The following is a 14,082-nucleotide window of genomic DNA, read 5'->3' as shown; positions in this document are numbered from 1 at the left end:
CAGAACATTATTTTGAATACCTCATGGTTGCAAATCTTTTTTCAAATGAATTTCTTCTTTAGCCAACTTTATTGAGGTATCTAGTTTACATATAATAAAATGCACACACTTTAAATATTTGTTGAGTTTTGACAAATGTATAAACCTGTATAAATACCACCACAAAATTAAAAAGTAGAATATTTCCACCACGGTAGAAAGTCCCTTCATACATGGCTGCAAATCTTATTTCAGTTTGGGTTTAGCCAAGTAAGTAAGTAGGGCAGCTGAACTGACAAATGCTGTTTTGTGCCTTGTAAGTTGTGTGGCTTGTAGATTGATCAGAAGCAGCACCAAAGGGGCAAATGTATAAATGATTGCAGACAGACCACTGGAACAAGTCTGCAGCCTCCCAGAATGACTACTGTGGTGGATGTATATTCTGGAGCTTGGACTTATCAGTTAGAGTACTTTATAGACATATTGTTCATTTGACAAAGATTGAGCCCCAATTTTGAACTGGGCATCATTTCATGCACTGTGGATTTGTTCTAAAAAACACACATTGTATTTCCACCATGAAGTCTATATTCTGGTGGGAGGAAATGTCAATAAATGAGAAATCAAACGCATGATGTAATTTGGGGAAGCAATACATGCCGAGAAAAGAAAAAAAGTCGAGTGAGGAGATAGAAAATGATGGTATATACCATTTTAAAGAAGATAATGCAGCCCGTGTAATTCATCTTCATTTTCTTTTCCTTTTGTGAAGAAATTGCAAGACTCAAATTCTACCAAAGGTGTTTTATAAAAGGCACATGTTATCTTTCCATAAAGTGTATTCTGGAGAGTGCTAGCATCTATTATAAAGTAGTGGTGATGTGTGTGTGGATGCGGAGTTACATAGTTAAAGAAGCATGGGAAGGTTGACTTAAACAACTTAACTAAGTCTTTACTACGGAACTCAGAACCTTTAATATGCAAATGTGATTGCACATATTCGTGAGGGAGGATTGTAGTACGTTATGTTTTCCAATTTGTTTTCTCCAGGGAGTTGTTTGGCCTAGAGCATCTTAAGCAAGTGATGTTCTGGTAACACATTGTGGGAAATTCTATTCTAGGGTTCTCAGACTACCGGAGAACTGAAAGCAACCGGGAAGTTAAATTACTCAGAGGGCAAGAGGAGGGAGTGGAGGTAGCTTCAAGTTACTGAATATCCCTCCAGGATGTGGAGCACTCACCAGGCAAGGTGTGGGACGGGCAGGTGGCAGGGGCCTGCAACATTCTGTGGTGCAAGCCTCACAACTCAGGTGTTATCATAGTTTTCACTTGCTAATGGGAAAACCTGCTGCTCAAGGAGACCCAGTTGGTAGCCAAAGGTCACACCATGGCTTACAAAGTCAAGACCTGAACCTAGGCCTGTTTGACTCCAAAACTCAAATCATCAAAAACTATAACACTATATTGCCTAAATAATGGGGAAGGGTAGGTTGCAACCCAACTAGCAAACCTTTTCCTCCCACCAATACATCTCCATGTACTCTTGAACCTGTGTCCTCCTCAAGGGATGGGCTTGTGTTTTATCTGCACGGTGTCAAGTGTTGCTTGCTCTGTCACATGCTGGCCATATAGGAGGTACTTGGTAAGTTCGAGCAGCCGAGGTCATGGTCCCATCACATAAGCTTAGTATGTGGGGCCAGATGGCTGTGACCCTGAGTGGCCCTGACAGAACCATCCATCGACTTCCTTCCCTTTTCCCTGCCTTTTCTCCCTGCCTTTTCTACCTTGCAGCCATCAATCTGATCCCTCTCCATATCCACTGGAACCAAGGGGTCCAGATATATACAAACACCTCTGCCAGGGCCCCCATGAGGCACCCAGACCTGACAGGGCTTGCAGGGGCCAATAGCTGGTGGCGAGATTGGCTCTGTGAAGGGGTGGGGGATGTGGAAAGGAGCCAGCTCTGGCTAGAGTCTTTCACCCAGTAGCACGGGGGAGAAAGTGGGGGAATTTCTGTACTTAGAGGCATGTCTTTCAGGAAAAGATCTGAGACAAATTTCCTCTCCCACCATCCCCATCTTCCTCTCATGAGACAACTGGAGAAGTTGGTGATGATTAGTCACTCCTGTTAATTCATTACTAATTTGGATGGAGGGAGACTGGTTTTTCTAAGCCTCAAGCTCAGAAACTCAAGTGCTCCATAACTGAACTCTCAGTCCTTGATCTCCTTATGCTCTCCTCCTTCTGGATCCCCCGTTTCCATGCATGCATGCCTTTGACCTCTTCCTGGCCCTCAGGCTGGAAACAGCCCCGTCTCTTCTTTCACGTTGAATCGGTGACAGCGGTGTCAAGCCAGCCTTTGCAAGAGCCTCTAATTTGGTGCCTCTCCAGACCCACTACCCCAGCCAGCCCTCGTCTCTCCCAAAGCTGTATGACAGCCCTCATTCCTCTGCTAGATGCTACTCTTGCCACCAGCCATGTGCCAATCCTTCAGATGCTTCTGTACAGGAGTCAGCACAGGGTGCTGGGATTTTTAGAAGCAACCTTGAACTAGACACACAACTGATCTCCATGCTGGGCCCCACACTGCTCCTGAAGGGCAGGGGAAGTTATCCAGACAAAGAAGGGGAAGACTGTGAGCAAAGGCACTGACATAGGGCCTTCAGGGAACTCTGAGAGTGTGACCTTGATGTGTTTGAAGGACAAGGTGGCAGCAGGTGCTGCAGCTGTCTAATGCTGCATACCAGAACAATCCAAAACTTGGTGCTTAAAACAATGGCCACATTTAGGTTGCTGACAAATCTGACAAATCTTCAATCTGCACAGGGCTCATTGGGGTAGCTCATTTCTGCTTCACTTGGCATCGAGGGCTGGGACTGGAATCATCTGAAAGCTGGCTCAGTAACATGTCTGGTGGTTGATGCTGGCTGAGGACCAAAATCTGAACCGAGTTATCCGTGGAACATTAACATGTGGCCTCGCCATGAGTAAGGAAGACTGGGCTTCCTTATGATGTAATGTCGGGGTACTAAGGGTCTCAAGGGAGAAAGAGCCAGCCAGATTCTTTGTCCACTTTTAGGATCCAGCCTCGGAAGTCACATAGCGTCACTTCTCTTCATTAGAAGCAAGGAGCTAAGATTGGCCCATATTCAGAGGGAGAGAACACAGAACCCACCCCTTGATAGAGTGTCATTGTAAGAGGTGTATGTGGATGGGAGAGATTGGTGTGGCCATCTTTGCAAAATATGATCAGTCTCAGCAGAAAATATGGAGGCAGGCTGGGTCCAGGACTGTAGCATCTTGGCTATCACCCCTCACAAACCAACACAGCTGTTTGGCTAACAGCAGTGTTGGTTTTTACCTTATAGAAAATGGGACGCCAGTGAGAGAGGCCAATTCAGGCGTGACCTGCTCGTGTTTGTGCTTGAGAAAGCTCCCCCTGGGGTGGTGTGGTGGAAGATTTGAGAGGAGCAAGCAGGGGACCTGTGAGAGGCTGTTGCAGTGATCTGAGGAGGGATGGTGAGGGCCTGAGCCAAGGCTTACACCAGTAGAAGAGGCAGGGCTCCAATGTGGGAGACACCAAGAAGAGACCATGGGGCTGAGGGATGGGGCAAACACCAGAGGGTGAGGAGGAGGGACATCAAGAAGGATTATTGGTTTCTGGCTTGGGAAACTGAGTGAAGGTGATGGGGAATGAAGGAAAAATGGGAGCAGTTTATGGGGGAAGATGATGAGTCCTATTTGGGAAGTGATTAGTTTGAGGGGCCTAGGAGTGTCCAGGTGGATACGTCTAGCAGACAGTGGAGTGGACCTGCTTGCAAAACTCTGGCGAAAGTTCTGGGTACAGAACTGAGATTGGAGGCCATCATCCTATGGCAAATGGGATTGCCTATGAGCAGGTGCAGAATGGATCATGTCCAGAGAAGGGGTCTACAGGCAGGCTTTGGGGGCATTAGTCTTTAGGGAGTGGCTAGAGGAGGAAGATCTGGCAAGGCATCTGAAGTCAAATTGTCTCTTTCCCAGGTCTGGCCTGGACCAGGGAACAATCTGGGTTCAAGTGAGCTTTGGTGTCCTGTTTCCATGGAAAATGACAGAACGTTGACAAATCCCATCCCCATCACTGTCACAGTCTTGTGCTGCTTTCTTATAACCTATAACCTATAATGTGGCTCTTGTCTTTCCTTCAGCCTTATAGTGGCAATTCCTATGGATTAGGGAATTTCTATGACTGTTTTTCTTTTTCTTGTTTTGTTTTTTTTTTTTTTTTTTTTGAGACGGAGTCTCGCTCTGTCGCCCACGATGGAATGCAGTGGCACAATCTCAGCTCACTGCAACCTCCACCTCCCAGGTTCAAGCGATTCTCCTGCTTCAGCCTCTTGAGTAGCTGGGATTACAGGCATGTGCCACCACGCCTGGTTAATTTTTGTATTTTTAGTAGAGACGGGGTTTCACCACGTTGGTCAGGCTGGTCTCGAACTCCTGACCTCATGATCCGCCTGCTTCGAAGTCCCAAAGTGCTGGGATTACAGGCATGAGCCACCGCGCCCAGCCTTGCTTTTCTTTTTCTAATCTTTCACATCTTACCCTTTACAAGGATGGTCAGAGCCAGAAAGAGTCTTCTAGTCCGGTGACTGGAAACCACGTTGTCCCCCAGACTCTGCTGGTAGAAGTTTTCCAAATAAAGCATTTGAGGCTTCACTCCTGCTGATTTTGATTCAGTAGATCTGAGCTTGGGCCTAGCCTCTGTGTTTCAAAGGCACTCCCACCTCCCCATCCATGTGATTTTGAATCAAAGCTGAGTTATGAACCATTGACTTAGTCCAGTTACCTTGCAGTTGGGAAAACCCAGGGCACAGAAGGGGGAAAAGCACACACAAACCGAGATTGTTCCCTGGTCCAGGCCAGACCTAGGAACGAGGCAATTTGACCTCAGATGCCTCGCCAGATTCTCCTCCTCTGACCATTCCCTAAAGACTAATGCCCCCTAAACTCTAAACTCTGTCTCTAGACAGAGACAGGACCCTTTCTGGCTAAGCTTGCTCTGTTGAATAAGAGGCAGGTCCAGATCTGGTCCATGCCAAGCGTCAGGTGACTAGCATCTAAGCCCCAAAGTGCCTACTGCATACAGGGCATGGGTTGGGCACTTGGGTTACCCCTTGCTGGACTTCAGTTTCCCCATTTGTGAAAAGAGAGTGGGATGACATTATTACAAAATATTAAGAAGAATTTCAGAATACAAAAGAAAGCCCAGTGGAGCCTCTCTAGCATGGCAGGGGTGGAGTGCCACCATGCCCCCAGACAGGCAGGCTTCCTTCTACCACCTGGGAGGAGTGGGGTGGCCACACAGGTTCAGGTGGCAGTCAGGAGAGGTGTCTGGTTTTGTGGGTGTAAAGACCTCTCCAGACCTGGAGGCTGTGAGCATGGACACATGGATAGGCAGTGAGTTCTGGGCTCTGTCTGACATCCCAAGCTGGCCTCGCAAAGGTTCTGCCCTGGCAGGAAGGAAACCCCACAGCCTGGAACAAGGGCACCTATAGAGGAAGGCTCAGCTTCGGAAGGAAATGGAAATGAAGGTGGAGCCCCGGTTGCTCTCCTGTGATGGCAGCTGTTCATTCATGGAAAGAGCTTTGGAAGACTGTGAAATGGCACAGCACTCACCCTTCCCTGGAGGAAAACCTCACCCAGAGGGGCGCCTTCCAGGAGATGCTTGAGAATAGGACTCCTGGCTCAGAGCCTGTTCGGTGTCAGCGCAACAGCTGAGAACCTGGGGGAGCCCAGAGCTCAGCCTGGAGCCAACTAGGGACATCATGAAACCCTTCTCCTACCCTCCCTGATGTGTTATCTGTTCCCATCCACCATGGAACTCACATTTACTCAGTACCCCAGGACCAGGTACGAGGCCAGGTGAGATACAGAGATAAATGGCCTTGGCCCCTTCCCTGGGGCCTTGATCATCCATTGAGCAGGCAGCAAGCACAGTCAGTCACAGACATTCCTGAGAGGCCAAGATAGTCCTGGTAAGAGATGAGGACATGGATGGGAACATTCATTCAAACCAGGTGCTTTGGGGATTGCATCATGGTGCCTTACTGGAGGCATTAGAGGTGGGCCTCAGAGGACAGGTGTTGGGAATGGAAGACAGGTCAAGAGAGATGGATCCATGTGACCCGGGCTTGTTCATCTCCCAAGAGTGGTCTGAATTGGATGGGGAGTGGCCTTCAGCCCTCACAGGGCACAGGAGGAGGGCAGATGTGCAGCCTGTGGAGCACTGTGGTGCTGTTGGGGAATAATCCAAGATGCTCAGCTGAGCAGTTAGGCCCTTCCCTTGGGGGTGAGTCCCCAACCCTGTCATATCTTCAACACCCTGTGGTTTCACTGGGCCACATATCACAGCAGTGATAAGAATGCAGTAATAACAGGAATGGCTAGCACTTTAGGAGTGCTTCCTGTAGGGTGCAACACAATGTTGCAATGATGACGTTTCATCCTGGAGACCCTGGGAAGTAACTGCTCCTAGATAACAGGCGAGGAAACAGAGGTCAGCCTGCCGGGGCCCCTAACAGATGGCTGGGAGGGCGCCAGGGCTTGTCGTCCAGAAACCTCACGGGCCCATCACTCTTCCCCCAGGTGTTTGTGCTCTGCCAAGGCCTCCTGCAGCTCTGCCAACTCCTGTACAGCGCCTACTTCAAGAGCAGCCTCACCACCATTGAGAAGCGCTTTGGGCTCTCCAGTTCTTCATCGGGTCTCATTTCCAGCTTGAATGAGGTGAGCAGGAGGTTCTGGTCCATCAGACTCCACTTGTGCACCACGCTGACCACAAGATCCAGGAGAAGCAGAGGAACAGGGGGCTGAGATGTGCACATAGGTGCAATGCCTCTTTCTGCCGGGTAACAGCAAACGAAACAGCAAAGATCCAGTGGGCACAGTGAGAGCAGCTAGATTTCCTGAGGCCTGACTTGTGCCAGGTACTGAGCTGAAAGCCTCCCATGCCTGACCTGGGGGCCTCTTCATGGCAGCCTTGCCAGCAGGTACTATGTTCATGCCCACTTCACAGATAAGGATGCTGAGGCTCAGGAGTACAAGTGGCTTGCTCCAGGTATGCAGGGCTGTCCGCCTTCAAATTCTGTGCTTCTAATTTAGTTCTGTGCAATCTGCCAGCCTGTGGGGCCCCTGCCCCATACATAGTCTAGAGAGGATAAGCCCCAGGCATGCAGGTGGGTCAGCAGCCCTGGGCCCAGGCATCTCCTGTCTTATGAGGGCCACAAGAGCCAGAGCTCTTAATGGCCTTGACTCCCTGAAGAGATCAGAGCTCTATGGCCTCCGAGCATTTCCTGCCATCCCTCAGTGACTGCATATCAAAGTTAGAGGAAGACAAGATGGGCCGAGAAGCCAGAGGAGGTGGGAGGTCAGAGGGCAGGGCCTGCCAGGAGCCACTGGAAGCTGGGGAGAGAGAGTGAGCGGAGGCAGCAGAACCCCTTCATCCTGTCTCCATAGTCTGGAGACAGGGCTCCTGGGCTGGCTTCCATCTTCTCCCCAGGGCCACTCTTCCTGGATGGAGGCAGGCAGTGGTCCCTTCCCCAGAGCCGGGTTGCTCCTCTGGAGCATCATGAGGTCTTCCCTTGACTTAGTGAAATTCAAGTCAGTGCAGTCACTTAGAGCCCGGGCCCCTGTCCTGTGGCAGCTTCTGGCCAAAACAGAACTGTAAAAGAAGGCAGGTATCTCCTCTCCCCAGCCTTCTCCTGCTGGAATAAGGCTTTCCCTTTCACCCCTCCCCCTTCCTTGATGGTCCACATAGCAGTGACCCCAGGACCACTTTCCTGTGACAGTCCCTTCTACGGTCCTAGGAGGGAGGCACTCTTCACAGTCGTGTTTCTCAGACAAGGAACCCGGCATCAGAAAGCCTGAGTACTCCATCCAGGTCAGCCCCCTGTCATGTGCATGGTGCAGCCAGGGTCTGAGCCCAGGGCTGTCTGAGGGCTGCATGCCGAGGCCTCCTCTGTGGATTCCTAACTGTCTTCTCTACCGTTCCTCCAGTCTCTTGCTCACAAGCACTGCTCCAGCCAGTCTCAACCTCCACACACATCGCTGGAATCTTCATTGGTGCCCCTCACTTCATGGGCACCCCTCCATGGGCTCTTTCGCCACATATATGACATGCATGCACATATACACGCACAGTCCTGCAGCCTGTCTAAGTCATCCCTGCTGGCCTGAGACCTCCTCCTCTGAGCTTCCAGGCCTATGTGTGTGCCTTCCCTGCTTTCTGTGCCAGGTGTGTGTCTGTGTACTGGTCTGTGTGTGTGCCTGTGTCTCTGTCTGTCTGCTTGTATTGCTATCCTGAGCTTCCTGGTGATGCCTGGTGACTGGGTCTGCCTGACTGTGTGGTTGCCTCCTTTTCCAGGACAGCACCCTGGTGTCCCTGCCCTGCATTCACACAGAATGACCCTCATCGATGTTGACCTCTGACTTTGGTAATTCCCCTGGCACATGTTGTCCTCACTCATGATGGATATCAGGGAAAACAAATCTCCGACATTTGCGTCACCACGGTCTTGTTTCATGACCCTGGCAGGCATCCCTAATTACCCACCCCATCCCTTTCCTGCTGAGTTCATGCACAGCCTCAGAATCCTTCTCAACACAATATTCTAGGCCTTGCTACTAATCAAAGTCAGAGCTGGCATGTGAGGTGAATCTTCTCCTTCACCTCAGCCCAGGTGGTAGCCAAATCTGTGATCTCCCATGGTTAAATTTTCATTCATGTTGACCCTATGCTTGGAACAAAAATGTGGGCCCGGAAACAACTGGATTCCTCAATGGGCTGGGAGTAGCTAGCTAGGACTTGTAGCAGGATCTGCTTAAGACAGGAGGTTGATTAGGCAATGAAAGAGCTTAATATTTTCCCAGGGATGGAGTTCAATCAGAAATAAAAATAATTCACCCATTAAAATCTTTCCCAGTCTCAGATGAACTTTTCAAGAATCTGAATTCAGCTCATGCCTGTGGGCATGATTTGAAGCAAATATCATCAGATAGTTCACTCCTCTGACCTTATAACCCTCTGTGTGTGTGTATCTGTGTCTGTGTATGTCTGAGTATTTGTGTGCAACTCTGTATGTGTCTGTCTGTGTACAGTATATGCCTGAAGGCTAGGGGGGATGTGAGAAGAGAGCCCGGCCTGGTGCAAGGGGAAGGTGAGGCTGCCCGGGTGGTGGAGTGTGCGGTGAACCTCCAGGAAGCATGAACCTTCAGTCTGCAGCTTCCAGTCTCAGAGAGCCTTCTGGGGGCCCAGTAGGTGAGGTGAAGCCTTTGACAGGCTGGGCGTAAAAGGCCAGCACCAGCAGGAGGAACTTAGTTAAGAAGAGAAGACATGGAGCAACTTGGCTTGAAGCAGCAGCTTCTCTTGTCCACTACGAAAGGCTAGGGCTGAGCCCTAGAGGCTGCCTGCCCTTCACGCCACCCACCAGTTGTCCCTGCGGCCCTTTGGTTTGAGATGTTGAAGGGCAGGGGCATGTCATGATGGGCATTGTAACAGCTTTCAAAGAGTCTCACAGCAAGTCCATGGTAGTGTTTTAGGGGCTGCTCCAGGGCTGAGGAGACTGAGGTCTTGAGGCTCTCTTCTCAGCCGGAACAGCTGCATTTGGGGGGTTGTTTTATATTAGGGAAAAACAGTTTTTTCAAAGGGACTCTGTGGCTGAAGAAAAGTTTGAGAACAAGGTCTTAAGCCAACATTAGCTGTAACACCTGTGGAGGTTCAGCTTCCCACAGAGAAACAAGTGCAGGCCCCTGGAGAGTGCAGAAGAGCTTCTCCTCTGTCCCTCCTCCCTGAGATCCCCTTCGGGGCCCTCCACTGACCCTCACCCAGGCCTTCTAAAGTCAGCCACAGTCAGCACAGCTGATATGATCTGACATTTACAATCATTTTATGAAAAGCAATACGGAAACAAGAAGGAAATAAACGAAATCTGGGAAGCATAAGAATAAAGCTCTCTTTCCAGGTGTGGGTTTCAGGATGTCCTAGATCCACCTTTGGCAGGAGCTGCCTCTCACACACCTTCACATCCCCTTTCTCTGTAGATCATAAACCATCTCACTCTTGGCCATGCTGGAGGGGTCTCCTGGGCAACTATGTCCTCCTCTTGAAAAAGTCTACCATTTACTCATTCATTCATTTGTTCAACAATATTTAACGAGCACCAAGTATTAGGCACTGTTCTAGGTGCTGGGGAAACAGGAATGAACAGACAAAAATCTCTGCTCATATATCATTCTAAGGATAAATATAGTATTTATGGAAATAAAACATACTGTAGATCAGGTTATGATGAGTGCAATGAAGAGAGAGAGTCATGGATGGGAAAAGGTATACGGGGCCTCAGTGTTGGGGATGTAGGTGTATTTTAAATGACGAGGTCAGAGAAAGACCTTCTTGAGATGATTCAATCTGAGCAGAGGCCTGAATCTGGTTAAGAATGGAGTCCTGAGGACGTAAAGTCAGAAGGAGCAGCAAGAACAAAAGGGGCTGGGGGAATGCCTTTGTTCTTTGGTGTGGTCAAAGAACAGCTGGGGGCAGTATGGCTGGATGGAGGGAGGGAGAGGAGCAGAAGAGTGCAGACCTGAGAGGTGACCAGGGGGCAGGCTGTGTAGGACTCGGGAGGCTCTGGGACAGCCTTTGCCTTTTTCCACTGGAGGGTTTGAGCTGAGGGAACATGGTCTGATAGTTCAGCAGGACCCTTCTGGCTGCTGGGTGGAGAATGAACAGTAGCAGGACATGGGTGAAGGCAGGGTCCCGTTAGGAGGCTACCACAGTAATTCAGACAGGATTGGAGGTTGAGGAATCACTGGCTTCCAGGTGGCTATGGAAGGTCCTGCCAAGGGGATTTGCTGATCGATTAGATATGAGTGTGAGAGAAGTCAAGATGATGTTCGAATGTTTTGTGTGAGCCACTGGGAGGATGGAGGTGCCATTTACTGAGACAAGGAGGACCAGGACAGGGGACTGGGGTTTTGGAGGAAGGAAGAAGAGTGAGAGTTTAGATGAGCTGAGACTGTGGGACTTAGAAGCACACGCAGAGCATAAATAGCCATGGAACTGGACACACTTAGGGGCAGAGCTCTGGGCCCAATGTTGAGAGTCCAAGGAGATAAAGAGGAATAAGCCAAGAAGACCGAGAAGGAGCAGACAGGGGAAGGGAAGCAGGAGAGGATGGTGTCATGGGAATTCTGAAAGAAGTGTTTCAGGAAAAAAGAAATGGTCAACTGAGTCAAATGGAACTGAGCATTGACCAGTACATTTGCCAATGAGGAGGCCACTGGTGACCTTAGTGACAGCCATGTTCTGAGGCTCTAGCCTCTGTTTCCTGACATAGGAGTACCCGTTTCTCCACCCAGGAGGAAAGTGGGGTGTAACAAGGCAGGGCTATGGCTGCAGATTTACAGAGCTCCTCCAGTCCAGGTGAACTGTGCTCTGAGGAGAGGACCATCTTTGGTGGAGACGTGGTCAGAAGGCCTGGCAGCATCCCCTTACCATTGAAGACCTTACTCCCCATGCTGGAGCCTTCAGTTCCCTTCCCTGGTTCTGGGTGGGGCTCAGAGAGCACATCTTCCAGGGAGCACCAGGAGCATGGAGTTACCCATGTTTCCAGCTGGAAGGGTTTTAGGGGTGCTCTAGTTCTTATCCTTCATTTCACAGAATTGAAAACAGACCAAGGCAGGGGAAAGGGCAGGATAGTAGCAGAGCTGCTTGGGCAGAAACCCTCTTCTCCAAGAGGTGGCAGACAACTCTAGTTAAGCCTTGGTGTTTTAGAGTCAGGCAAGACTGGTTCAAGCCATGCCCTAACCTCATAGTGATGGGTATGTTACTTAATATTCTGAACCCCAGTTTTGTCAGATAAAATGAGAATTGTTTCATGATTAAATGAGATAAGCATGTTGCTTGCTTGTTATTCTGGCCACCAAGCCAAGGTCCTTGGGTCCTTTAATTTGTACCTAATTAAACTTGGGATTTTGCCTAAACTTTAGGTACAAACTCTCAAGCTTAATTAGGGAATGTGTTTTATTCCTAGGAGCCAGCCAGAATTGGAGGTTTCTTTGGCTTTTTCCCAAAAAGGTTTGGTTCTAAGATGGTTAAAGTTTAGGTTTTGAGTGTTTCATAATCTCCAGATACTTCCTTTGGTCTGGTCTAGGAGATGGAGACCCAGAAGGGTTTCTGATAACAGAGGGAAAACCAAAATTGCTTATGCTTGCCCCTTGTGAAGCTCTCTGGGAAAAGCTGACACTGTAACTCTGTCTGGGCCCCAGCTGACACTGGGCAGCCCCCTCCCTTTCCAGTTTTCCTGGATGAAGTGTGATCGGGTCTTCTCTGTGGGTGGGTGAGGACAGGGCCTCTTGTCTCACTCAGCCCTTCTGCTCTCTTCTCAGATCAGCAATGCCATCCTCATCATCTTTGTCAGCTACTTTGGCAGCCGGGTGCACCGTCCACGTCTGATTGGCATCGGAGGTCTCTTCCTGGCTGCAGGTGCCTTCATCCTCACCCTCCCACACTTCCTCTCCGAGCCCTACCAGTACACCTTGGCCAGCACTGGTGAGTGGCTTCCAACCCCTGCCTCAAGGGGTAAGGAATGGGTGAACATCTCACAAAGTTAGTGGGGATACTCCTAGGGCAGTGGATACCACTCCAGGAAGAGGGCATATGAAGCTCAGACTATACTGAAGTATGTAGAGCTATGGAGCAACTGAACTCTGGTTTGTTCAGGAAAGTGTGCAGTGCATGGCTCACCTCCTGCTGTGATTCCCTGTGCTTCATGCCAGGAATGACCCAAGCTCCACCTCCCTGGGGACACTGTGAGCAGTTTCTGCAATGGGGCTTGGCAGGAGGAGGATCAAAGCATTAAATCATGATGAAGTCTGTGGATTTTGTCCATGTTTAATCATAGCACTTCGTGACATTTGTACATTCTTCTGTCTTTAGGTGACAGTGCACTTGCACGATCTCATTTGATCATGTTTACTATGTTGAGTTTGCCGATCCATGAACATAGGATGCTCACTATTACCCTTATATTTAACATTGATGTATGACTTAACAACCACTGAAGTTCATTAATGTCTCTATTCTCCAAGAGAGCAAAATAAGGATCATAGATGCTTTTTTGCCCACCATCCTCTCTCATCTTCCACTTATGGTTGACCCATATTTTTGTTCTACCTCTCTTTAACCTCCCCACAGTGGTCATTATTATAAATTGTTACTATACTGTTATTTATAAATAAGTGAGTGGTTATTTATGTACTCACAAGTTTACTGGTTTCTTTGTTCACCATTGATTGCTTCTTGCATTTCACCCATGCTGTTGATTAATTTTTTTTTCCTGAAGGATATCCTTTAGTGTTACTTTCAGTAGGCCTATGAGTAAGAAAATCTCTAAGTCTTTGTCCGAAAATGCCTCTATTTTACCCTTGCTCTTGAATTATAGTTTAGCTACAAACAGGATTTTAAATCAATAGTTATTTCTTCTCAACACTTTGAAGGTACCATGCCTCTGTCTTCTGGTATTGGGACTCTTCCATTAGTCTAATTGTCATACCTTCTTAGGTATCCTGTTTTTTCTCTAGTTCTATTTAGTATTTGTTCTTTTCTTTTCTTTGTTGTTCTGTATGTCTACCATAAGGTATCTGAGTATGGCTTAATTTTCACTTATCTGTTAGAAAGTTCGATGTGCTATTTCTTTTGAAAATTAGAGTTTTTCTTTAATTTTGAAAAATTTTCTGCCAAAAACATTCCTGATATTGCACATCCCTGTTTTCTCCATCCTTTTTTTCTGGAACTCCTTTTACATATGGCTTCACATTTTCATTTCTGGCCTCCTTGTCTCTTAACCTCTCTTTCATAGTTTTCAGTGCTTTATGCTGCATCCTGGGTAATTTCCTTAAAGTATGACTTCCTGTTCACTTAGTCTCTCTCCAGCTTTGTTAATTGGTGTCAAACCCATTTTTTACATTATGAATTTGAATGGCACTACATATTTTGCTAATTCCTGAAGTTCTTATAATAGTTGTTCAAATCTCTCTGCTCTGTGACACTATTTTTTGGTGTTTCCTTAT

At 48.4% G+C, this 14,082-nt stretch overlaps 1 protein-coding gene across 1 annotated transcript in view; it reads left to right on the top strand.

Annotated features, from left to right (window-relative positions):
* The window catches only part of SLCO2A1 (solute carrier organic anion transporter family member 2A1), a 97,225-nt gene that overhangs the window by 43,701 nt on the left and 39,442 nt on the right, over positions 1 to 14,082 (top strand). Inside the window, exons 2-3 of the mRNA NM_005630.3 lie at positions 6,607 to 6,744; positions 12,400 to 12,562. Of these exons, the coding sequence (NP_005621.2) occupies positions 6,607 to 6,744; positions 12,400 to 12,562 (301 nt within the window). The remainder of the gene's footprint in view (positions 1 to 6,606; positions 6,745 to 12,399; positions 12,563 to 14,082) is intronic.

Source organism: Homo sapiens, chromosome 3 (genome assembly GCF_000001405.40).
Source record: "Homo sapiens chromosome 3, GRCh38.p14 Primary Assembly".
Taxonomy (NCBI): Eukaryota; Metazoa; Chordata; class Mammalia; order Primates; family Hominidae; genus Homo; species Homo sapiens.
This window is presented reverse-complemented; position numbering and strand designations above follow the sequence as displayed.